The sequence below is a fragment of the Homo sapiens genome, chromosome 2 (assembly GCF_000001405.40).
Source record: "Homo sapiens chromosome 2, GRCh38.p14 Primary Assembly".
Classification (NCBI taxonomy): Eukaryota; Metazoa; Chordata; class Mammalia; order Primates; family Hominidae; genus Homo; species Homo sapiens.
The window spans coordinates 127,434,201-127,460,176 of record NC_000002.12 but is presented as its reverse complement, the minus strand read 5'-3'; the positions used below and the strand labels follow the sequence as shown (position 1 = coordinate 127,460,176).

Genomic DNA, 25,976 nt, shown 5'->3' with positions numbered 1-25,976 from the left:
AAGAGGAAAGCCTTCAGTGTTTCACTAGTAGGGATGATGTTAGCTGTGATATTTTTCATAGATACCCTTTATCAGGTTGAGGAGTTGCCTTTTATTCCTAGTTTGAGTTATTTTATTATGAAGAGGTATTGAATTTTGTCAGGTACTTTGCATCTATTGAGATGATCATGTGGTTTTTATCCTATTGTATTGACATGTTACATTAATTAATTTTTTTTAGTGTTACGCCAACTTTGCATTCCTGGGGTAAATTCTGCTTGGTTACAGTGCATAATCTTTTTAAAAATAAGTTGCTGGCCAGGGTCAGTGGCACATGCCTGTAATCCCGGCACTTTGGGAGGCCAAGGTGGGCAGATCACGAGGTCAAGAGATCGAGACCATCCGGCCAACATGGTGAAACCCCGTCTCTACTAAAAATACAAAAAATTAGCTGGGCGTGGTGGCACATGCCTGTAGTCCCAGCTACTTGGGAGGCTGAGGCAGGAGAATCGCTTGAACCCAGAAGGCAGAGGTTGCGGTGAGCCAAGATTGCGCCCCTGCACTCCAGCCTGGCGACAAAGCAAGACTTCATCTCCAAAAAAAAAAAAAAAAGTTGCTGGAATTGGATTGCTAGTACTCTGTTGAGGATTTTTTCATCTTTATTTTTTAGGGGCTATTGATCTGCAGTTTTATTGTGATGTCTTTGTCTGGTTTTAACATCAGAATATATTGGCCCCTCACAGAATGAGTTAGAAATGTTCCATCTTCTATTTTTGGAAAAGTTTGTGAAGAATTTGTATTAATTCTTTAAACATTTGGTGGAATTACAATTGAAACCGTCTGTGTCTGACATTTTCTTTGTGGAAAGTTTTTCGATAGTTTGTTTATTTGTAGGAATTTCTGCATCTCATCTTAGTTATTGGATTTGTTGGCATACAATTTAAACGATTCCCCTATTATCCCTTTTATTATTGTAAGGTCAGCATTGATTCCCTCTCTTTTATTCTTTCTTAGTTGTTATTTTATAGAGACAGGGTCTTGCTGTGTCACCCAGGCTAGAAATCAGTGGCTTGATCATGGCTCACTGTAGCCCCGAATTCCTGGGCTCAAGTGATCCTCCTGCTTCAGCCTCCTGAGTAGCTGGACTACAGGCATAAGCCACCACGCCCAGCTCATTTTTGTTTTACTTTTTTGTAGAGCTAGGGTCTCACTATGTTTCCCAGCCTGGTCTTGAGCTCCTGGCCTCAAGTAATCCTCCTGCCTTGGCCTCCCTCGCCCCCCCGCCTTTTTTTTTTTTTTGAGACAGAGTCTCACTCTGTCATTCTGGGTGGAGTGCAGTGGTTCAATCATAGCTTGACTGCAGCCTTGACCTCCTTAGGCAATCTCACTATGTTGCCCACACTGGTCTGAAACTCCTGGCCTCAAGTGATCCTCCCACCTTAGCTTCCCAAAGTGTTGGGATTACAGGCATGAGCCACCACGCCTAGCCATGCCTGGCTAATTTTCCTTTTTTTTTTAAGAGATGGAGTCTTGCTATCTTGCCCAAGCCGGTCTCCATCCTCCTGCCTCAGCCTCCCAAAGTGCTGGGATTACAGGTGTGAGCCACTGTACCTGGCCTCTCTCTTTTATTCTCGACTTTAGTAATTTGCATTCTCTCCTTTTTATTGGTCAGTCTAGCTAAAGGTTCAGAAATTTGGTTGATCTTTTAAAATAATCTATTTTTACTTTTATTGATTTTCCTTGATTTTTTTCTATTCTGTTTTATTTATTTCTGCTTTAATCTTTATTATTTCCTTTCTGCTTACTTTGGATTTTGCTTGCTACTTTTTTTTTCTGTTTCTTAAGTGGAAGTTTCAATTCCTGATTTGAGATCATTCTTCTTTTTAAATATAGTTGGGGTTTGGGGGTTTTTTTTTTTTTGGTTTGGAATGAGGTCTTGCTATGTTGTCCAGGCTGGTCTCAAACTTCTGGACTCAAATGATCCTCCTGCCTCAGCTTTCCAAGTAGCTGCGACTACAGGCATGAGCCACCATGTCTGGCTAATATAGGTGTTTATAGCTGTACATTTCCCTGTACGTACTGTTTTCACTGCATCCCATAAATTTCTGTATATTGTGTTTTCATTTATTTCAAGTACTGTTAAATTTTCTGATTTCTTCTTTCACCCATTTGTATTTAGGAGTTGTTTAATTTCCACATATTTATGAATTTCTCAAATTTCCTTCTATTATCGATTTCTAATTTCATTCCATTTTGATCACAGAACAGACTGTGTGTGATATCAGTCCTCTTAATTTTATTGAGGCTTGTTTTATGGTTTAGCATTTGATGTTTCCTGGCAAATGTTTCATGTGCTCTTCAGAAGAATGTGTGTTCTGTGATTGGGTGTTCTGCAGTGGTCTGTAGGTGTAGCTTGTTCAGCCTTCTGTTTCCTTGCTGATCTTCTGCCTAGCTGTTCCGTCCATTATTGAAAGTTGGGCACTGAAGTCTTCAACTACTTTTGTTAAGTTGTCTGTTTCTCCCTTCAGTGTTACCAGTTTTTGCTTCATGTGTTTTGGTGCTCAGTTGTTTGGTACATTATGTTTATAATGGTGTGTATTCCTGATGGATTGATTTTTTTAGTCATTATAAAGTGTCCTTTTTTGTCTTAAAGTCAACAACCGCTTATCTTAAAGTGGCGAAGTCCAATCTTTTGGCTTCCCTGGGCCGTGTTAGAAGAAGAATTGTCTTGGGCTCCATGTAAAATACAATAATGATAGCTGATGAGCTAAAAAAAAAAAAATCTCATAATGTTTTAAGAAAGTTTACAAATCTGTGTTGGGCTGCATTCATAGCCATCCTGGGCCACGGGTTGGACAAGCTTGACATAAGGGAGGGTAACATGGTGTGTGCCATTGAGAAACTTCCTGGAGAGACATGACCATGGGAACCGACCTGAGAAGTTTACACAGGCAGTGGAACACAGAAGCAGGGGTTCTGCTCCCGCACACTCCTCCAGCCCTCCGCGTGCCCCGCAGCCCACCGTGCTTCACCACCACCTGTTCTCAGGCAGCCCGTGCACTCTCTCCTGTGTGCTTTGAGTTGGTGTTCCTTGTGTCTACTGTTCTTCCCTTTCCCTACCTCGCTAACTCCTACATCTCATCTCACTAAAATAAGATGCATGTGGCCGGGTGCGGTGGTTCACGCCTGTAATCCCAGCACTTTGGGAGGCCAAGGTGGGCAGATCACAAGGTTAGGAGATCGAGACTTTCCTGGCCATCGTGGTGAAACCTTGTCTCTACTAAAATACAAAAAATTAGCCGGGCATAGTGGTGCGTGCCTGGAGTCACAGCTACTCGGGGAGGCTGAGGCAGGGGAATCGCTTGAACCCAGGAGATGGAGATTGCAGTGAGCCGGTATCACGCCACTGCACTCCAGCCTGGCGACAGAGCAAGACTCCATCTCAAAAAAAAAAAAAAAAAAAAAAAAAAAAAAAAAGATGCGCATATCGGTGCTTTCCAAAATCCAGTCATTGGCAAGCCACATTTAAGATGCTCTCCACATCTAAGCACTATTTGTGATTCAAATCAGTTTTAAAACTCATTCCTTTAGCCTCACTCTGAGCAATCATATTGGTGAAAGTTTGGTTTTCTCATTATATTTTTTTGTAATGCACATTTAGATGCATAAGTAAAAAATTAAAAATTGGTCCACATTCTACTTCAAATCATTTTGCATGTGATACATATGCCATACTTTTGACAAGACCTCTAGCCTGCCTGACGCACAGGGAGCACTGTGAAAGATCTTTTCTTGCTGTAATTAACATCTGTGTGGGTTAGCTGCAACTTACCTGCCGGGAAGCCCTTCTGGGTGACCCCGGAAGTCTCACTCCGCTCCCTCCCCTGCACTGCTTTGAACACGTCTCCAATTTAGTGTTTTCTTAGACCGCAGACGTTGTAGTTGTTCACATGTCTCTCTCTCCGTTAGACCATGAGCTCCCTGAGGGCAAAATGATGTCCTTTTCTCTTCTCCCAGCATCGATAACGGTACCTGACAAATAGTAAGCATTCAGTAAAATTTTGTTGAATGAGTTTCCATAACTGCATTGTAGTATAATTTCTCTTTCTGTGTGTGTCTTTTCTCTGATGAGACTGTTCTAGGAATTTTTATGCCACTCAGTGCCTGCTCACAGCAGGTGTCCAGTAAACTCATGCAAGAATGACTGTATGAACAGATGAACAATGAACAAATGTCAGATATGTCACTCTCAGCCCTGCAGCTGGTAGCAGTTCCCCAGAATCTCCATCTTCCGATAGTGGTCCCCACCTGTGTCATTGTTAGAGGCTGTCACTACTGGTCACGTTCCAGGGTGAACCCAGCCTGTCTTATTGCTCTGTAATCCATCTTCCTGTGGAATGTGGTAATTAGCATGTTAATGAGCTCACAAGGAAACAGTGTTGCAAGAAGAGAGGTTGTTTAGCCGGATGCAGTTGCTCATGCCTGTAATCCCAGCACTTGTGGAGGCTAAGGCAGGAGGATTGCTTGAGTCCAGGAGTTTGAGACCAGCCTAGGAAACATAGAGAGGTTGATATCTGCAAAAAAAAGTAAAAATTAGCTGAGCCTGTGGTCCCAGCTACTTGGGGGCTGAGGTGGGAGGATCACCTAAGCCTCCAGGGGTTCGAGGCTGCCAGACCCTGTCTCAAAAAAATACAATTCATTTAGGGAATCAGGACAATCCTAGGATGAAATGCAGACTGTGACAAAAGAATCCAGCCATATGAAACCAGCTCTCTGAGAAAGGGTGGGGGTGAGCCTGTGGACTTCGCACCCCTGCTTGAACTAAGTGAGCTGTGACAGGCAGTAATCCTTCCATGCCCCGCCTCAGCGGTAAGGTAGCATGTTTACCACCTGCACCACGAGGGGAAAGTTCACCCCTGGCACCCACCAATAGCGTGAAAGACTTGGGCTTGTTCCGTGAGTTACATAGTGACTGAGGAGATCCATTCCAATAATGGGGTGCACATTGTAGCAAAACCAGGCCAATACTAACAGTTAAGTGGGTAATTATCCCTTTAATTAATCCTCCCAAACCATTCCCCTTGGAAGGATTACAGCCTGTCACGCTGACTTAGTTCAAGCAAGGGTACAAAGTCCACGGATCCCTTTAAAGCATGAGCATTTCCTGTAATATGAGATTTGGTCACCCAGTGTTGTTTATTTTTTGGAGTCCAGATTACTATTTTTTTTTTTCTTTTGAGACGGAGTCTTGCTCTTGTCATTCAGGCTGGAGTGCGATGGCGTGATCTCGGCTCACTGCAACCTCCGCTCTTGGGTTCAAGCAATTCTCCTGCCTCAGCCTCCTGAGTAGCTGGGACGACAGGTGCCTGCCACCACACCCAGCTAATTTTTGTATTTTTAGTAGAGATGGGGATTCACCATGTTGGCCAGGCTGGTGTCGAACTCCTGACCTCCAGTGATCCACCTACTTCTGCCTCCCAAAGGGCTGGGATTACAGGCATGAGCCACTGCGCCCTGCCCAGATTACTATTAACGTGGAGAAAGGTAAAAGGGCGATTGTCTACCAGAAGGGTCTGTTTTCCATGAACATGGACCACTGGATCCGTATGGGGGACACGGCCAGATATGAAGGAGGGGCTGTTTCCAGAGGAGACACCTGCTGAGAATTGTCGTCTAACCCTAGTAATTATTGGAACTGTTAAACCAATTTACTAGAGATCATCCAATCTTGAGCGCCCCCCTCCTTAGGATCCAAAGTAACCTTTCTTGTTCATTGCAGGGTTCACATTTAAGGAGATGCCTGGCTGTAGGAAGCTTGTCTGGCTTAGGAGAGGGGAAGTCTTACTGTTCATAGTAATTTGGATTTAGGCCAGGTAGGGTGTTGTTTGTAGAATTCATGGGCAGCACTCTGAGTTTGTCTTTTCTAAGTTTCCAGTAAGTCCAGGCAGCTATGGCCCCTTGAATTGTCTTAGTATTAGTATCATTGCCCCTGAAGAGGACTTTGTCGGAAGCTCTCCTAAGAAACAAGCAGATGGAGTCAGGACTCCCTTAAGCTGCTCAGGGCTTGCCACACCATTGTGTTGCATTCAGCCTGTCGTCTGATAAGCCCACTTCTACATCCCCAGCTGACCAAGACCTTTGGCCTCAGCTAACATTTTCCATTGACAGTCTGCCCAAACCCTTAAGACCCTATGCTAACATAGGGTCAGCAGCCTTCCAAGCCTTAAAAATCCCCATCAACAAGGTATCTGTGGGCCAGGGTCCAAAGCCTTCGCTGGGGGTCATTCCCACCTTCCTCACTAATTGTGCAGGATGCTTTTGCAGGGACACCATTTTTCCATTCCATACTGGGGCAGCCAGCCATTGAGTTTCAGCCCTTTAGGTGGAGCTCCCTCCCCGCCAGAACACTCTAGACAGCCAGCCAGCCCCTTTGTCTTTGGTTCCTGGGTTAGGAGAAACAGGGCCACAGGGCGAGAGAGAAGATGTTTTCTCCTCCAGGCAAGAGTTGTCCCCTCCTTCTTGGTCCTCCCTTTTTGTCTTCTCAGTTGTTATTACTTTGCTGTGGTCACCGGCAAAGCAGATGGTGGATTGATTGCCACTTATCACTGTCATGGTGCTGTCACTCTGCCTTTCCTCTAGAGGACACCAGTCCTCTTCCACAGGGTCCTACCCTCAGGCTCTTCCTTCCTGGGAGTTCAAGCCCCTGCCTCCTGTCCAGCGGCATCCTGGTAAGAAGCAATAGAGCTTGACCCGTGTTTCGTGGTTTGGAGCACCTGTTCAGTAGGACAGCCACCATCTTCAGAGTCCTGCGAGGGTCAGGGATATGACCTTCCTTGTCTTTAGTCACTTTAAGTAATGCTTTAGCTGGCTTAGCACAAGGGTTGGGCACAGCAGGTCCCAGCAGCAGAGGTATCGCTCCAGCTGTGCTTAGGAGACCAGCCTTGGCCTGATGTCTCTGCCTTGTCAGTTCATTCACCTGCTATCACAGTCTCCAGGGATGAGGGCATCCTCTTCTCTAAGAGTTCCCTAAACCAACAGGACACTGTTAGGGAGTCAGGGGTAGTCTGCTCTCAGTGCAGGTACATGCCATCCTCCCCTTTTACTATTCAAGCCCAAATGTCTTATAATGTCCAGCAACTGCCTAGTGGAGGACTCAGGCGGGTGGACTGACCTCCCTCCTGGGCAACCCCAAACCTCCCGCCCCAAAGATCAGTTCCAGTGTGTGGGTTCATTCAAATACTGGTGCTACCACTTGCCCAAGCTAATGAGTGTCTGGGGGAAACCAAACAAATATAGAGTGCCATAGAGCACACAGCAGTGCTATACAAACTGAGTGGAAAGCTTCCAAATTCTGAGTTCCAACCACTTGGGACTGTCCAGGATTCTTTTGCCAATTGATTGTCCTACTGGCTGGGCGGCCCCCATATCAATTTCTTAACCATTTCCAAAACCCTCCCCTTTCTTCACCACCCCTTGTAGCGAGTTCAAGGGATTTTGGGACTGGCTGGGCACAGTGGCTCATGCCTGTAATCAGAGCACTTTGGGAGGCCGAGGCAGGAGGATCACTTGAGGTCAGGAGTTCAAGACCACCCTGGCCAACATGGTGAAACCCCGTCTCTACCAAAAATACAAAAATTAGCCAGGCATGGTGGTGCACGCCTGTAATCCCAGCTACTCAGGAGGCTGAGGCAGGAGAATCGCTTGAACCCAGGAAGCAGAGGTTGCAGCGAGCTGAGATCATGTCACGGTACTCCAGCCTGGGTGACAGAGTGAGACTCTGTCTCAGAAACAACAGGGGGATTTCAGGACTGACCAAGAAAAAAAGATCTGACCATTACTTAGCAATAGCAAACGATGAGCTTTATTTGGCAACACTTTGACAGGGTGGCATGTAAGGGAAGTCCCATGAGGGACGAGGCCATCCAGAGGTTACAGCCCCAGGATAGCCACTCAGAAGTACCGGAGGGTAGGGGACTCAAGGAGGAGGGGACTGCCAGGGAGGGGCTTATGTGTCAGATGACGTGACTGAGCAGCACCATGTATCTGGATCCAATTTCTGAAGGGCAGCTGCGGCTTGGAATCTTGTACTACCAGGTTTATTTTGTCTGTGGCTAGCAGATGTTGGGTGCAGTTTCATGGGGCATGCAAAGCAGACAGGCTCTAAATGGCTAAAAATTAGTTTATATGGGCTACGTTTGAAGCTATTGGATGTGTCAAACTTTGAGTTTGGTGCCTGTGGATTTTTGAAATCTGCCCTGAAGAAGTAAACAATAGAGGGGCAACACAGAGAAGCTATCTGACTCATTAATACAGCACTGCCTGATCAGGAAACAGAGGACACAAATTAACAATATCAGGAGGCCGGGCGCAGTGGCTCATGCCTGTAATCCCAGCACTTTGGGAGGCCGAGGCAGGCGGATCACGAGGTCAAGAGATCGAGACCTCCTGGCCAACATGGTGAAACCCCGTCTCTAATAAAAATGCAAAAATTAGCCAGGCGTGGTGGCATGTGCCTGTAATACCAACACTTTGGGAGGCCGAGGCGGGTGGATCACGAGGTCAAGAGATGGAGATCATCCTGGCCAGTGTGGTGAAACCCCGTCTCTACTAAAAATACAAAAATTAGTTGGATGTGGTGGCGGGCGCCTGTAGTCCCAGCTACTCAAGAGGCTGAGGCAGGAGAATCACTTGAACCCTGGAGGCGGAGGTTGCAGTGAGCCGAGGTTGCACCACTGCACTCCAGCCTGGCGACAGAGCGAGACTCTGTCTCAAAACAAAAGATCAGGAATAAGAGAAGGAATATCACTATTCTGTATATATTGGACAAAAAATATTATGAAAAACTTTATGCCAGTAAATTTGACAACCTAAACAAATTCCTTATAAAACACAAACTACTAAAGCTAACTCAAGAAGAAATAGCCTGAATATGCCTATATGTATTTTTAGAAACTGAATTTGTAGCTAAAAACCTTCCCACAAAGAAAACTACAAACCAAGATGTCTCTACTAGAGAATTCTAAACGTTTAAGGAAGTCATATGGTTTGGAAATGAGGAATAAACCAGTCTTTATTCACAAACAACATGATTATGTAGAAAATATGGAACCTGCAGAAGAATTCTTAGAACTAATAAGTTAGTTTAGCATAGTTGCAGGATACAATGTCAATAGCAAAATTCAGTCATATGTCTGTGAACTAGCAACAAGCAATTGGAAATTAAATGTTTAAAAAATAGCATCTCAGCAAGGAGACAGGCTGAAGAAAAAAATTTAAATATATAAAATGCATCAAAATTTTGAAATGTTTATGAATAACTTTGGCAAAAGATGTGTAAGTCCTCTGCATTGAAAGATACAGTTACTGTGAGAAATTAAAGACCTAAATAAATAGAGAGGTATGCTATGTTCATGTTTCAGAAGACTCAATATTGCTAAGATATCAGTTCTCCCAAATTGATCTACAAATTTACTGTAATACCAAGCAAAGTACTAGCAGGCTTTTTTGTAAAATTTGATAAGCTGATTCTAAAATGTATATGTAAATGCAAAAAACTCTAGACTAGCCAAGATAACTTTGAAAAATAAGTTTAAAAGCTGCATGAATTACATTATTTAAAGATTTATAAAGCTTCAGCAGTGAAAACAATGTGATGTTGGCATAGAGACAAAGAAATCAATGGAGCGGATTATCAATGGAGCAGATAGGTGTCCAGGTAAGACTCATGTACATATGACTTTTGCTAGAGATGCCAAGGCAATTCAATGAGGAAAGGATGATAGTCACAAGAAATCTTTACAACTGGATATATAAAAAATTAAACCTCTGACCTTAGCTCACACCACACACAAAGAAATAAATGGATCACAGACCTAAATGTAAGAGCTAAAACCGTAACACTTCTAGGAGAAAATCTTCGTGACTTTGAATTTGTCAGGGGTTTTAAAATATGACACAAAAAACCCTATAAAGGAAAAAATAAATTGGACTATTTCAAAATTAAAAACTGTCATTCTTCAAAAGACACTGTTCATTTTCAGTTGGCATGTGAGGAGCTTAGCAGTCATCACCCCCAACCTCACAACAAGAAAAACGCTGAACAGACTGAAAATCAACAACTTTTCTTGATCCACCAGAGATCTGAGGCCACAGGGCAAACTGCTGTCCTCAAAATGGAGAGACAGAGAAGCACATACAGAGAACCAGAACTTACGGGAGCAGAGGCCTAGGAGTAGAAAACTCCACAGGAACCAGTACCGGGGTAGGGAAACTTAAAACTTAATTGATGATTTGCTGGGCACTCCATGAGAGAGTTAAAAATACCAGGGGAGCCAGTCTTACAGGGCCCCACACAGTTTTTTGTTTTGTTTTGCTTTACCAAGTTGTCACAGTAAAGATCAGAGAAAAATTCCCTGCTGCTTCTGGTAGAGGAAAAGAAAAGGTAACCCAGAGCATTCTCTTCTTAACAAGGTCTGTCCTCAGGGGAAACTGTTTTACCGGAGCCTGACATGTGGGAAGAGAAATACCCAACTCTACCCTCCTCTAGGCTTCCTGCCCACCTCCAGCGGGGAAAGACAAATGAGAAGCCCTTGTGTTGGTCACAGCCCCTGCAGAGGTTCATTAAAAGACTGAGACCTATAGAATGCTTCGTCCCTCCACCCCTCACTAACACATCAACAGGGCTCCTGTAATAACGAGAATACAACTGAACTGCACATCTCAGACCTGATTTATGAAGAAGACTCTAGGGAAACCCAAAGACAACAGGGAAGCCACAGACAAGAACACCAAAGTAAATGTTATCCTCTGACACCTACAGCTAGAGCAAACGGTAAACACAGCCCAACTCCTAGCCAGATAGAATTCTGTATTCACCAAATTATCCTTCAAAAGTGAAGGAGATACTGGAAATACAATCAAGGTTTGTTGTTTTTTTTTTAAGTGAAGGAGAAGTAAAGTACAGAAAGCCTCACAAAAGGCTTGTTTACCTCAGTTTCTTTTGCCCAACACATCATGTTTTATAAGAGACAAATACACTTTGAATAGACAGAACAAACATCAGAATAAGACAGATATGGCAGAGATGCTTGAATTATCAGACAGAAAATTTTAAATAATTGATTAATATGCTAAGGACTCAAATAAGAAAAGTGGCTAACATGCAAGAACAGAGGAGTAATGTAAGTAGAAAGATGGAAATGCCTAAGAAAGAATCAGGTGCAATGGCCAGATGCGGTGGCTCACACCTGTAATCCCAGCACTTTGGGAGGCTGAGGAGGATCGCTTGAGCCCAGGAGTTCGAGACCAGGCTGGGCAACATAGTGAGACCTTGTCTCTATAAAAAGAAAAAAGGAAAAAAGCAAAACAAAATGCTAGAAATAAAAATAAACACTGTAACTGAAGTGAAGAATGCTTTTAGTGGAGTCATGAATAGATGGGACATGGCCAAGGAATGAATCAGTGAGCTTCAAGGAATGTCAATAGAAACTCCCAAAATTGAAATGCAGAGAGGAAGAAGTAATGGAAATGATGGGATAGAATATTCAAGAACTGTGGGACAAATACCAAAGGTATAAAAGGATAGTGTACACATAATGGGAATACCACACAGAGAAGAAAGAAACAGAAGAAATACTTGAAGTAATAACAGAACTTTCCAAAATTAATGGCAGACACCAAACCACAGGTGTAGGAAGCCCAGAGAACACCAAACAGGATGAATACCCCAAAAAATCTACACCTAAGAATATCTATTCAAACTGCAAAAATCAAAGACATGGGAAGAATATAGAAAGAAGCCAGAGGGGAAAAACATCTTATCTGTAGAAGAACAATGGTAAGCATTATATCATGCTTCACATCAGAAACTGCACCCAAGAAGAGAGTGGTTTATGGGATTTAAAGCGTTGAAAGAAAAAAAACCCATCAACCTAGAATTCTGTATTCACCAAATGTTATCCTTCAAAGGTGAAGGAGATACTGGAAATACAATAAAGGTTTTTTTGTTTTTTTTTTTAAGTGAAGGAGAAGTAAAGACTTTATCAGACAATCAAAAATTGAGAGAATTTGTCACCAGTAGACCTGCCTCGCAAGAAGTGTTAAATTCTTCAGAAGGAAAGGGAAATTATGTAGGTCAGAAACTCAGATCTACATAAAGAAAGGAAGAGTGTTAGAGAAGAAATAAATGAAGGTAAAATAAAAATTTAGCTTTCTCATTTTTAACTAATAGGTAAAGTTTTTTCAGTTAATAGTGATTACAGCTTATGGATAAATGAATGACAGCAGTGTTATAAAGATGGAAGAGAGGAATTGAGAATACTTTTTCATAAGGTATTTGCACTACCCATGAAGTGGTAAAGTGTTTTATGAAAGAAGACTTGAATTAGTTGTAAATATTTACTGCAAAGTCACGGGAAACCACACACATTAAAAAACCCCACAAGTATAATTTGTATGATAAGAGAGGAGTAAAAAGGGAATAATATAAAATGCTCGATTAAAACCAGAGAAAGCAAAACACACACAACACACACACACACACACAACCTGAAAAGGCTAGAAAGAACAAAACAAATCAAGGGCAATGAATAGAAATGGAAGAAATATACTTTAAATATAAAGAAATAGATTAAAAGTAAAGGGATGGAGATACAGTATACTATGTTAACACTAATCAAAAGACAGCTGGAGTGGCTGTGTTAATTTCAGGCAAAGTAGACTTCCTCAGAGCAAGGAATGTTATCAGGGATGAAGAGGGGCATTGCATAGCCATAAAGGGGTCAGTTGTCAAAGATGATATAACAGTGTTTAAAGTGTGTGCACCTAGCAACACAGTGTCCCAAGATGAGGCAAGAACTGATAGAACTGCAGGGAGAAATAAACAAACTCATTTTTATGTTGGAGACTTCAGTACCCCTCTATTTAACAGATCCAGCTGGCAGAAAACTAGCAAAGACATAGTTGAACTCAACAGCATCATCAATCAACTGGATCTAATGGACATCTATAGAATACTTCATCCAATGACAGCAGAATACACATTCTCAAGCTCACTTGGAGCATTCATTCACCAGGATAGACCACATTCTCAGCCATGAAACGCACCTTAATAAATCTAAAAGAACGGAAATTATACAAAGTATGATCTCAGACCACAATGGAATTAAGCTATAAATCAATAACAGATAGCTAGAAAACCCCAAAATATTTGGAGATTAGGCAACACACTTATGACATGTTGGGACAAAGAAGAAGTTTCCAGATAAATTTTAAAATATTTTCAATTAAAATGAAAATACAACTTATCAAAATTTGTGGGATGCACCAAAAGCAGTGTTAGAGGGAAATTTAGATCACTGAATACATATATTAGAAAATGAGAAATATCTAAAATCAGCAATCTAAGCTTCCACTTTAGCAAACTAGATAAAGAAGAGCAAAGTAAACCCGAAGTAGGGAAGAAAAAAAGATAATAAAAATTAGAGGAGAAATCACTGAAATTGAAAACAGGAAATCAATAGAGAAAAATCAACAAAACCAAAAGCTAGTTCTTAAAAAGATTCACAAAAGGGTTAAAACTCTATCCAGGTTAACTAAGAAAAAAAAAGAGAAGACCCAAATCACTAATATCAGAAGTGAAAAAGAAATCATCACTACTGATTCCATCCTGGCTAACATGGTGAAACCCCGTCTCTACTAAAAATACATTAGCCGGGCGTGGTGGCAGGCGCCTGTAGTCCTAGCTACTCGGGAGGCCGAGGCGGGGGAATGGCATGAACCTGGGAGGTGGAGCTTGCAGTGAGCTGAGATCGCACCACTGCACTCCAGCCTGGGCCACAGAGCAAGACTCCGTCTCAAAAAAACAAAAACAAACAACAACAACAACAACAAAAAACCAACCAAAAACTAGCCAGGTGTGGTGGCAGGTACCTGTAATCCCAGCTACTTGGGAGGCTGAGGCAGGAGAATCACTTGAACCCGGGAGGCAGAGGTTACAGCGAGCTGAGATCGCACCATTGCACTCCAGCCTGGGTGACAGAGTGAGACTCTGTCTCAAAAACCAAAAACAACAACAACAACAAACACTTCTTCCAGAAAAAAGAAGCAGAAGGAATACTTCTGAACTCATTTTATAAAGATAGCATTAGCCTAATACCAAAAGCAGACAAAGACATTACAAGAATGGGAAACTGCAGACTGATATGTCTCATGAACATAGATGCAAAAATCATCAATAAAATATTAGTGAATCAAGCTGGGTGCTGTGGTTCACGCCTGTCATCCCAGCAGTTTCGGAGGCCAAGGCAGGCGGATCGTTTGAGGTCAGGAGTTTGAGACCAGCCTGGCCAACATGGTGAAATGCTGTCTCTACTAAAAATACACACACACACACACACACAAAATCTGGGTGTTGTGGTGTGCACCTATAATCCTAGCTACTTGGGAGGCTGAGGCAGGAGAATTGCTTGAACTTGGGAGGTGGAGGATGCAGTGAACTGAGATCGCACCACTGCACTCCAGCCTGGGCGACAGAGAGAGACTCCATCTCAAAAAATATATGTGTGTGTGTGTGTGTGTGTGTGTGTGTATGTGTGTATATATATAAATATATATTTATATATATATTTATGTATACACACATACACACACACACACACACACACACACACACACACACACATATATATGTGAATCAAATCCAACAGTGCATAATGCATAAGGGGAATTATATACCATGGCCAAATAGGATTGATTCCAGATAGGCAAGTCTGGTTCAACATTTGAAAATCAGTTAATGTAATCCATTATATCAACAGGCTAAAGAAGAAAACCCACATGATCATATCAATAAATGCAGAAGAAGCATTTGACAAAATCCAACACCCATTTATAACAGAAACTCTCAGAGAACTAGGAATAGACTTCTTCAATTTGAATAAAGAACATCTACAAAAACCCTACAGTTAACATCGTACTTAATTGTGAGAAACTAGATGTTTTCCCACCAAGATCAGTAACAAGGTAAAGGATGTCCTTTCTCAGAACCACCATTCAGAATTGCACTGGAAGTCCTAGTTAATGCAATAAGACAAGAAAAGGAAATGAAAGGCATACAGATTGAGAAGGAAGAGCTAAAACTGTTTTTGTTCACAGATAATGTGATTGTCTATGTAGAAAATCCTGAAGAATTAAAAACAAAAACCTCCTGGAATGAATAAGTGATTATAGCCAGCTTGCAATTCAGCATTGCAATTTTCATTTTCATTTAGTTGAAATGAATAAGTGATTATAGCAAGGTTGCATATTAATCACAAGGTTAATATGCAAAAGTCAATTGTTTCTTCTATACCAACAATAAACAAGTCAAATTTGAAATAAAACATAGGCCAGGCACAGTGGCTTACACCTGTAATCCCAGCACTTTGGGAGGCTGAGGCGGGCAGATCACCTGAGGTTGGGAGTTCAAGACCAGCCTGACCAACATGGCGAAACCCCATCTCTACTAAAAATACAAAACTAGGCGGGTGTGGTGGCACATGCCCATAATCCCAGCTACTCAGAAGGCTGAGGCAGGAGAATTGCTCAAACCCAGGAGGCAGAGATTGCGGTGAGCTGAGATTGTGCCATTGCACTCCAGCCTGGGCAACAAGAGCAAAACTCCATCTCAAAAAGAAAAAAATAAAATAAAAACACAATACCATTACATTAGCACCCCCAAAAATGAAATACTTAGGTATATATTGAACAAAATAAGTAAAAGTTCTATATGAGGAGAACTACAACACTTTGATGAAAGAAATCAAAGATCTAAATAAATGGAGAGATATCCATCCCATCACAGAGATCTTGACTCAGTGTTGTCAAGATGTCTCTTCTGCAATTTGATCGATTCAATGTAATCCCAGTCAAAATCCCAGCAAGTTATTTTATAGATATTGGAAAACCGATTCTAAAGTTTATTTTTTATTTTTTGAGACAGAGTCTTATTTATAAAGTCACTCGGGCTGGAGTGCAGTAGTGCAATCTCAGCTCACTGCAACTTCTGCCTTCCAGGTTCAAGCGATTCTCTTGCCTCAGCCTCCTGAGTAGCTGGAATTACAGGTGCGCACCACCACACCTGGCTAAGTTTTTGTATTTTTAGTAGAGACGAGTTTTGCTGTGTTGGCCATGCTGGTCTCGAACTCCTGGCCTCAAGTGATCATCCCATTTCAGCCTCCCAAAGTGCTGGGACTACAGGCGTGAGCCACTGCGCCCAGCAGTTCTAAAGTTTATATGAAAAGGCAAAGGTGCCAGGATAGCCAACACAATATTGAAGGAAAAGAACAAATTGAAGAACTGATACTGACGTCAAGCCTTTCTATAAAGCTACAGTAATTAAAACAGTGTGGTATTGGTGAAAGAATTGACAAATAGATCAATGGAACAGAAAAGAGAGCCCAGAAATAGACCTACACAAATAAAGTTTGCTGATCTTTGCCAAAGGAGCGAAAGCAATTCAATGGAGAAAGGATAGTCTTTTCAACAAATGGTGCTAGAACCGCTGGATATCCACATGCAAAAATGAATCCATGCTGGGTGTGGTGGCTCACACCTGTAATCCCAGCACTTCAGGAGGCCAAGGAGGGCGGATTGCTTGAGTTCACGAGTTCGAGAGCAGCCTGGGCAACATGTCAAAACCCCGTCTCTACAAAAAATACAAAACTTAGCTGGGCATGGTGCTATGCGCCTGTAGTCCCAGCTATTTGGGAGGCTGAGGTAGGAGGATGGCTTGAGCGCAGAGGTTGCAGTAAGCTGAGAGCACACCCCTCCACTCTAGCCTGGGGGACACAGCCAGACCTTGTCTCAAAAAAAAAAAAAAAAAAAATCCGTACACAGACCTTACACCTGTACAAAAATTAACTCAAAATGGATCATAGACCTAAATGAAAAATGCAAAACTATAACTTCTAGAAAATGTAGGAGAAAATCTAGATGACCTTGGGTTTGGCAATGACTTTTTAGATACAACACCAAAGGCACAATCTATGGAAGAAAATATTGATAAGCCGGACTTCATTAAAATTAAAAACACATGCTCCGCGAAAGATAGTTTGGAAAATGAAAAGACATGCCATAGACTGGGAGAAAATCTTTGCAAAATACCTATATATTTGGATGGGTGTCCAAAACATATAGATACACACACAAAATCTTACAACTCAACAGTAAGAAAACATACAATCCAAAATGTAAAAGAGGCAAAAGATCTGAACAGACATCTCATCAAAGAAGATATACAGATGGCAAATATACTTATGAAAAGATATCCAACATCAGATGTCACTAAGAAATTACAAATTAAAACAATGAGATGCCACTAACACCTATTAGAATGACAAAAATCTAAAATACCAACCACATCAAATTTGGCAAGGGTGGGGAGCAACAGGATCTCTCATTCATTGCTGGTGGGAATGCAAAATAGAACACAGCCACTTTGGAAGGCAGTTTCTTACAAAAGTAAACATAGGCCAGGTGTGGTGGCTCACACCTTCAATCCCAGTGCTTTGGGAGGCTGAGGCAGGAGGATCACTTGAGCTAGGAGTTCAAGACCCTCCTGGGGAGCATAGCAAAATCCCATCTTTACAAAAACAAAAGAACTACACATGCTTTTACCATAAAATGTAGCAATCATACTCCTTGGTTTGTATCCAAATGAGTTGAAAACTTGTGTTAATAGAAGAACCTGCACCCACACAGATATTTAGAGCAGCTTTATTCATATTGCCACAAGTTGGGAGCAACTAAGATGTCCTTCAGTAGTTGAATAAATAAACTGGGGTACATCAAAACAATGGAATTTTATTCAGCAATAAAAAGAATTGAGCTATCAAGCCACTAAAAGACATGAAAGAATCTTAAATGCTCATTGCCAAGTGAAAGAAGCCAATCTGAAAAGGCTACCTATTGTGTGATTCCAACTACATGACATTCTGGAAAAGGCAAAACTATGGAGACAGTAAAAAGATCAGGCCGGGCGCGATGGCTCACGCCTATAATCCCAGCAGTTTGGGAGGCCGAGACGGTGGATCACAAGGTCAGGAGTTCAAGAGCAGCCTGGCCAAAATGGTGAAACCCCATCTCTACTAAAAATACAAAAATGCTGGGTGTGGTGGTGGGCACCTGTAATCCCAGCTATTCGGGAGGCCGAGGCAGAGAATTGCTTGAACCCGGGAAGCAGAGGTTGCAGTGAGTCGAGATCGTGCCACTGTACTCCAGCCTGGGTGACACAGTGAGACTCTGTCTCGAAAAAAAAAAGATCAGGGATTGGGTGGAGGCAGGAAGGAAGGGAGGGATAAATAGGTGGAGAGAATAAGATATTTTTAGGGCAGTGAAATTATTCTTTATGATGCTGTGATGGTGGATACATGTCATATGTTTGTCAAGACCTATACAATGGACAACACAGAGTGAGCTCTGATGTAAACCGTGGACTTTAGTTAATAATATATCAATACTGACTCATCACTTATAACAAATGTACCACACTAATACAACATGTTAATAATAGGAGAAACTCTATTGGGGTTAGGAAGGCATATGGGAACTCTCTGTACCTTCTATTCGCTTTTTCTTTCTTTTCTTTTTTTTCTTGAGATGAATTCTCATTCTGTCGCCCAGGCTGGAGTGTAGTGGTGCAAACTCGGCTCACTGCAACCTCCACCTCTGGGTTCAAGTGATTCTTCTGCCTCAGCCTTCCGAGTAGCTGGGATTACAGGCACCCCCCACTAAGCCCAGCTAATTTTTTGTATTTTTAGTAGAGACGGGGGTTTCACCATGTTGGCCAGGCTGGTCTTGGAACTCCTGACCTCGTGATTCACCCACCTCGGCCTCCCAAAGTGCTGGGATTACAGGTGTGAGCCACCGCGTCCAGCCACCTATTCACTTTTCTATAAACTTAAAACTGCTCTGAAAAATAAAATATGTTAATATGTTGATTTTTGTTGTTGTTTTTTGAGATGGAGTCTCGCTCTTTTGCCCAGGCTGGAGTGCAGTGGTGCAATCTTGGCTCACTGCAACCTCCACCTCCTGGGTTCAAGTGAGTCTCCTGCCTCAGCCTCCCAAGTAGCTGGTATTACAGGAGTATGCCACCACACCCAGCTAATTTTTGTATTTTTAGTAGAGACGGGGTTTCACCATATTGGCCAGGCTGGTCTTGAACTCCTGACCTCAAGTGATTCACCCGCCTCAGCCTCCCAAAGTGCTGGGATTACTTAAGGCATGAGCCACCATGCCCGACCTAAAATCTGTTAATTTTTTTAAAGCGTGACAACCATGCTGCCCTCCGTCCCCCAGTTCATTTGCTGATTCGCTGCATCTGGAAGCTTCACAAGATACTAGGGAGTTTTTAAACTAGAGCCTAATCTCCTTTAGTCTTGGATAATTGGTAAGCAAAGTCCTCCCCAGGAAGGGGGACAGTCTTGAACAAACTGCCAGTCTCCTTCTCAAGACATTTGTGAAATTTGGAAGCAGCAGGGGATAGGAAACTAAGGAGCAGAGTTTAAAACTGCCAAAGGGAAGAATGACTCTCCTACATCTTTGGGATTGACAAGACAGACTTACCAGGCACTCAGGCTGTCCCATCAAGCATTTGAAACCTGATATGGACTGATTATAACTAAAACTGCAGCCCAGCTTCATCCCAGTTTTGTTGTTAATTAAACCTGAAAGGGCAGACTTTCCTGACAAGAAAATAATATAATATTTGGTTGCTATGGTTCCTTTATAAATTGTCTTCTGCATACTGTGGAAATTACAAGACAGGCAAATAAAAAGGAAAATAGAACCAATAGTCAAAAGAAAAAAAGCCAATAGACATAGACCCACAGATGATCCAAATGTTGGATAAGGTAACAACTATAGCAATATATTAAAGAAGATAGAAGAAAAATGGGGAAAATAGGTGAAAAGATGGAGAATTTTTACAGAGAAATGGAATCTGTAGAGAGGAATCAAGTGGGCATTCTAGAATTGAAGGGTTTATCATCTGAAATTATTAACTGATTGGCCAAGTTTCACAGGGTTTGGACACATGAGAAGACAGAATTGATGAAGAAAGATAATAGAAAGTACTCAAATTATAGCATACAGAGAGCAAAAAGAGTAAGGGTAAGGAGGGATGGGATAGCCAAGTACAACCACTCATATGAAGTCCTCTGTCCTATTTGAGTTTTTTACCACATGCATGTATAACTTGTTTTTGGCATGTGTGTGTGCTGTGGCCTGCTGAAGGCTCCTGGGGCCTCAGAGTCCACACTGTGGCCCTCACACTTACTGTCCAGGGTGGCGGGACAGGTGCACAGGAAAGAACACTGGACACCAAGCCAGGGGACCTGGTTTTAGGCCTAGCTCTCCCACCAAGTTGTGTGTGACCTGGGTTTTCTTGCCCAAATGAGGGACAATTGATGAATGTGAGGCCAATTGTGGGGTGAGGTGACGCCCCCCAAACAGCATAGCTTCTCTGTAGCCAGGTGGCCTGGAGCCCATGTTATAGCACACACACCTGATCCCAGAGAGCTGTTGTCCCTCCCTCGTCCACCACCCTGATAATAGACCTAGAACTCCATCTGCAGCCAGCCATGAGGACCCTGCTGGCCCATGGCCCACCCCACTCAGCCCCACCCTCTGCCAGAACTGGCAGGAAGCCTGCCTCCCACCTCAGCCCCGCTAGACTCCTGCCCAGTTCCCCACTCCACTGAGGTCTCTCCAGGGCCAATGTCAACTAAAGGGACCCCTCCTGGAGTCAGGCAGATTTGGAGGCACATCCCCATTCTGTCTGTATTCGCTGTGTCCATCTCTGAGCCGGTTACATTAGGGGGCTAACATGGGAAGGCAAGAGCAGGCATCTCTTAAGATCACTTAGAGGGTCCAGCATGGTTGCTCACACCGGTAATCCCAGCCCTCTGGGAGGCCAAAGCAGGCAGATCACTTGAGGCCAGGAGTTAGAGACCAGCCTGGCCAACATGACGAAATACCATCTCTACTAAAAATACAAAAATTAGCCGGCCATGATGGTGCACGCCTGTGGTCCCAGCTACTCAGGAGGCTGAGGCGTGAGAATCACTTGAACCGGGGAGGCAGAGGTTGCAGTGAGCTGAGATCACACCACTGCACTATAGCATGGGTGACAGAGTGAGACTCTGTCTCAAAAAAAAAAAAAAAATCACTTACAGGATTAAATCAAACAATGCATATAAAGGGCCTAGAACAGTTTCCTGCCCATGAACACAGGTCCAGGTGAACAGAGCCTGGTTTAAGAGCCTCAGGGCACTAGAAAGATTATGGTGTGCTCCCCTCCCCCACATACATAATTTAAAATTAATAGCCACAGAATAAGTGCAGTGAAGTCCACCAAAATTCTGACTTTTCCCGTGATGACTACTTTGACATCTTTTTTCTTGGCAGATTGTTTTAAAACTCATTTTTTCAACTGTGCAGTGCTCTTACGTGTTTGCTTGCTGAGCCCTGAGGCAGGACTGCAGCCCTGTGGGTGGGGAGTCTCCTGAGTGGAGAGACCAGGGGCTGCCCACCCGACTCGTCCAATCTAGGCCAAGCCCTGTGGAGCCCCCAGCAGGGCAGGGCCTAGCCCAGAACCCACCTGAGGAACCTGTGGGGGGACAAGTCTGAGGCTGGCTAATGATTGACCCACACCAAATATTGACAGAGCCTAGGTCCTGCCACTGCCCAACCATGCACCACTCCTCTCCCTGACCCGCCACCTGGCTCCATGGCCCACGGGACACAGCAGGGACTTTGGAGCCTGCTGCATTCCTACCCAGACTCCTCCAATAGCAGTGATGTAGGGAGCCCCCCAGAGGCTCTTTTCCCTTCATCAGAATGGAGTCGGCAGTTCCTCCCTTGGTTGCTCTGTGAAGCCCCGGGTCACTGTGGGTCACGTGCCTGGCATGGGCCTGCAATGAAGGTTCTCAATATGGCCTGGTGCCCTAGCCCTCTACCCACAGCCTCCCCGGCATGGCCCCAGAGCTGGGTGCTGTTTCTTTCCTAGGACCTGGCTCCCTGCTTAGCCTCTCTTGGCCTCTCCTGAGGCTTAGTCAGCCTGTTCCTTCCACAGCCTCCATGGTCTCCCCCAGCTTGCCCTGGTCCTTTTGGCCTTGTTTAGTTAGCAGTTTCTCATCTGTCCTTCCCATAACTCGTCCCCCAGGCTAAGCTGGTGGGGGCTTCTCAGGGGACTGAACCCCCAGGCCTCGGCTCCAGCAGCCCCATCACAGGGCTCTCTGCATATTGCTGCCTTCCGCTGGAGAGCTGAATTCTTCCACTCTCACCAATGGCTTCAGCCTGCACTGATCTCTCCCTCCTCCAAAGAGATTTTAGCCATTGTGACCATTGCGTCCTGGGCTCTGCATGAAGGGCTCAGGAAGAAGGGGAGGGAGGCGTCTACCCAGGGCCAGCTCCAGGCACCAGGCCTTGCAGGGGTTGGCCTTCCTTTCATCCCCACAACCACTGGGGATAGAGGGGGATGAGCCCAGTTCCTAGACAAGGAAAAGAAGGTGCAGGAGGGCCAGGCAGTAAGGCTGGGGGCACCAGCTGGGGAAGGGCCACTGAGCCCAGGGCCTGGGTACCTTCTCTGCAGCCAGGCTGCCATCTGACATCAGCTCTCAAATGTTGCGGTAATAAGAGATCACTCTTCAGCCCATTGAGTCTTAAATTTCTTTTCACGTCCTTTTATTTTTGTCAATGAAAAGGCTCTGTTAAAGCAAGCTTGTGTAAAGCTTCTCTTCTACAATTTGTGTGTCCCTGGGCCTTGTCTGACCCATGCGCCTGTCTGGGCTCAGCTCTGGGCCCAGAGGTGGCACTCGATAGATATGGTCAATGGATAAGCTTAACCCAGCCTGTCCCCTACACTGCTCACCTCCTTCGTGACACACCCCCACGCACGCCAGGCCTGCAGCCTCCCAAGAGACTCTCCCTCATCTGCCTCCAGAAGGCCCAGCATGTGCCCCCTGGGGGAGGGTGTCTCCTCCTCGACTGTGCCCTCAGCCGTGCACTCTAAAGCTGGGTGTTGTCATGGACATACAGAGTGGAATCCTAGACGTGGGAGACTGCGAAAGGTGGAAGGGAAGGGGTGAGGGTTGAAAATCACCTATTTGGGTACAGGGCTCACTGGGCGATGGCTCCACTAGAAGCCCAGACTCCAGCACTGCATAATCCATGCAAGCAAGAAATCTATACTCAAACCCCTAAATCTACAAAAACAAAAAACATGTACAAATCAAGGATGGGGAGCCAGGCGTGGTGGCTCATGCCTGTAATCCCAGCACTTTAGGAGGCTGAGGTGGGCGGATCACGTGAGGTCAGGAGTTCACGACCAGCCTAGCCAACATGGTGACACTGTGTCTCTACTAAAAATACAAAAATTAGCTGAGATTTGTGGCAGGTGCCTGTAACCCCAGCTACTGGGGAGGCTGAGGCAGGAGAATTGCTTGAACAAGGAAGGCAGAGGTTGCAATGAGCTGAGATTGTGCCACTGCACTCCGTCCAGCCTGGGTGACAGAGTAAGACTCTGTCTCAATCAGTTAATCAATCAATCAATCAATATGGGGCAAAAAGGATGTTTCAAAAGACAGGGGCAGATGGGGCATGCTCTCCCTGCCGACCTTGCAAGGAGCTGCCTGCACCCGAGTCTGTCTGGAGACAGCCGCTTTCACAGAGCCAGAGGGCAGAGCTTTCCACACTCAGGAGCCAAGGGATGTGGGTGCTTCCCTCCAGGAGGTACAGAAGTTCTAGCCTGGCTGCATGGCACAAAATATCATAAAATGAGTTGGGTGGGTTTTGTTATTTTTCCATTCGGGGGAGGAAACTTGTTTAAGATGGGAACTAACTGTTCTTTAAAACTTTGACAGAACTCGCACACAAAGCAGCATGAGACAGAAGCTTTTGAAGGGGAGTGGAATGGCTTTTACCGGCAGTGCAGTTTTCTTCTTGCACCAGTGTTAGTATTTTATATTTGTTCAGGAATGTGTGTATTTCACCTAGGCTTTCAAATGTATTAGCTTATAGTAAAATCATTGCTACGCCCCTGTCACTCTTTCTAATCTGCATTTTTCATAGATCTGCCTCTCTGCTTTTGATGTTATTTCTTGTGTTCATCATTTGCACCTCTCTTACACTCAATTCTGCCTCCTTATCTTTATATTTCCCTCCTTCTTGTTTCTTTGGGTTTGTGTTACTTTCCAGCTTCTTAAGTAAGATTTTTATGTCACTTGCTCTCTTCCCAGTTTCGTATGTATGTATGTATGTATTTATTTAATTATTGAAACAGGGTCTCACTCTGTTGCCCCAGCTGGAGTACAATGGCACACTCACAGCTCACTGCAGCCTCAACCTCCTGGGCTCAAGAGATCCTCCTGCCTCAGCGTCCTGAGTAGCTGGGACCATAGGTATATGCCGCCGTGCCTGGCTAACCTTTTGATTTTTTGTAGAGAGAAGGTCACTTTGTTGCCCAGGCTGGTCTTGAACTCCTGAGCTCAAGTGATCCTCCCTCCTCAGCCTCCCAAAGTGCTGTGATTACAGGCGTGATCCTGCATCTGGTGTTTTTCCAGCTTCTTAAGTAAGGATTTCATGTCACCTGCTGTATTAGATTGCAAGGGCTGTTATAATAAAGTACCACAGACTGGATGTCCTAAATAACAGAAATCCATTGTTTCACAGTTTTGGACGCTAGAAGTTCAAGACTGAGGTGTCAGCAGGGTTGCTGCCTTCTGAGGGCTGCAAGGGTGAAGCTGGTCAAGGCTGCTCTCCCAGCTTCTGGAGGTTGCGGGCCATCTTGGGAGCCCTTGGCTTGTAGATGAGTGGCCCTGACCTCCGCCTTCATCTTCATGTGGTGTTCTCCCCGTGTGTTCACGTTGTCTTCTCTCCGTTCATGTCTGTGCCCCAATTTCTCCTTTTTATGAGAACACCAATCATTTTAGGGGTCCACCCTATTCCAGAATGACCTTGTCTTTTTATTTATGTATTTATGTATTTATTTATTTTTTAGACAGAGCCTCACCCTGTCGCCCAGGCTGGAGTGCAGTGGCTTGATCTCAGCTCACTGCAACCTCCGTCTCCTGGGTTCAAGCGATTCTCCTGTCTCAGCCTCCTGAGTAGCTGGGATTACAGGCACCCACCACCACACCCAGCTAACTTTTGTATTGACCTTGTCTTAACTAATTATATCCTCAGCAATCCCATTTCCAAGTGAGGTCACATTCCGAGTTTTTGGAGGTTGGGGCTTCAGTGTGTGAATTTTGGGAGGACACAATTCAACCCGTGACCCTTCGTGATGGTTAATTTTATGTGTCATCTTGGCTAGGCCTCAGTATCCAGATATTTGGTCAAACATCATTTCGAATGTTTTCTGGGCAGATGTTTTTTTGGATGAGATTAACACTTAAACCAGTGGACTTTGAGTAAAGCAGGTTATCCTCCATAATGCAGGTGGGCTGCATCCAATCAGTTGAAGGTCTTAATAAAGGCTGACTCTACCCAAGAAAGAAGGAATTCTGCCAGCACACTGCACTCAGACTCAAACTGTGAGTGTTCCCTAAGTCTCCAGCCTGCAGGCCCACGCTGCAGATTTTAGACTTATCAGCCTTCACGATTATGTGAGCTGTTTCTTTGAAATAAATCTCTCTCTCTATTCGGTCAATTTCATTTCCCTGGAGAACCCTGAATAACATGTATTTGCTTTTAACTTTTTGTTTCTGGATAAGAATATTTACTTATTTATTTTGAGATGGAGTTTCGCTCTTGTTGCCCAGGCTGGAGTGCAATGGTGCAGTCTTGACTCGCCACAACCTCCACTCCCTGGGTTTAAGTGATCCTCCTGCCTCAGCCTCCCAAGTAGCTGGGATTATAGGCGCCCACCACCATGCCCAGCTAATTTTTGTATTTTTAGTAGAGATGGAATTTCACCATGTTGGCCAGGCTAGTCTTGAACTCCTGACCTCAGGTGACCC

General features: G+C 44.1%; 1 long non-coding RNA gene across 1 annotated transcript, besides 1 other annotated feature; it reads right to left on the bottom strand.

The window, feature by feature from the left end:
- Positions 1 to 2,255: 2,255 nt before the first annotated feature.
- On the bottom strand, positions 2,256 to 4,518 carry LOC124907884 (uncharacterized). The gene is made up of 2 exons (XR_007087229.1): positions 4,288 to 4,518; positions 2,256 to 4,011 (listed from the first exon to the last, which is right to left on the bottom strand). It is a non-coding gene; the product is annotated as an uncharacterized LOC124907884 (long non-coding RNA).
- Positions 21,434 to 22,434: an enhancer, noted in NCBI's record as "H3K27ac-H3K4me1 hESC enhancer chr2:128195319-128196319 (GRCh37/hg19 assembly coordinates)". NCBI's record gives its function as "activates a minimal SCP1, AML or CMV promoter by ChIP-STARR-seq in primed H9 embryonic stem cells {active_cell/tissue: H9 hESC(primed)}" and the evidence as "EXISTENCE:reporter gene assay evidence [ECO:0000049][PMID:30033119]".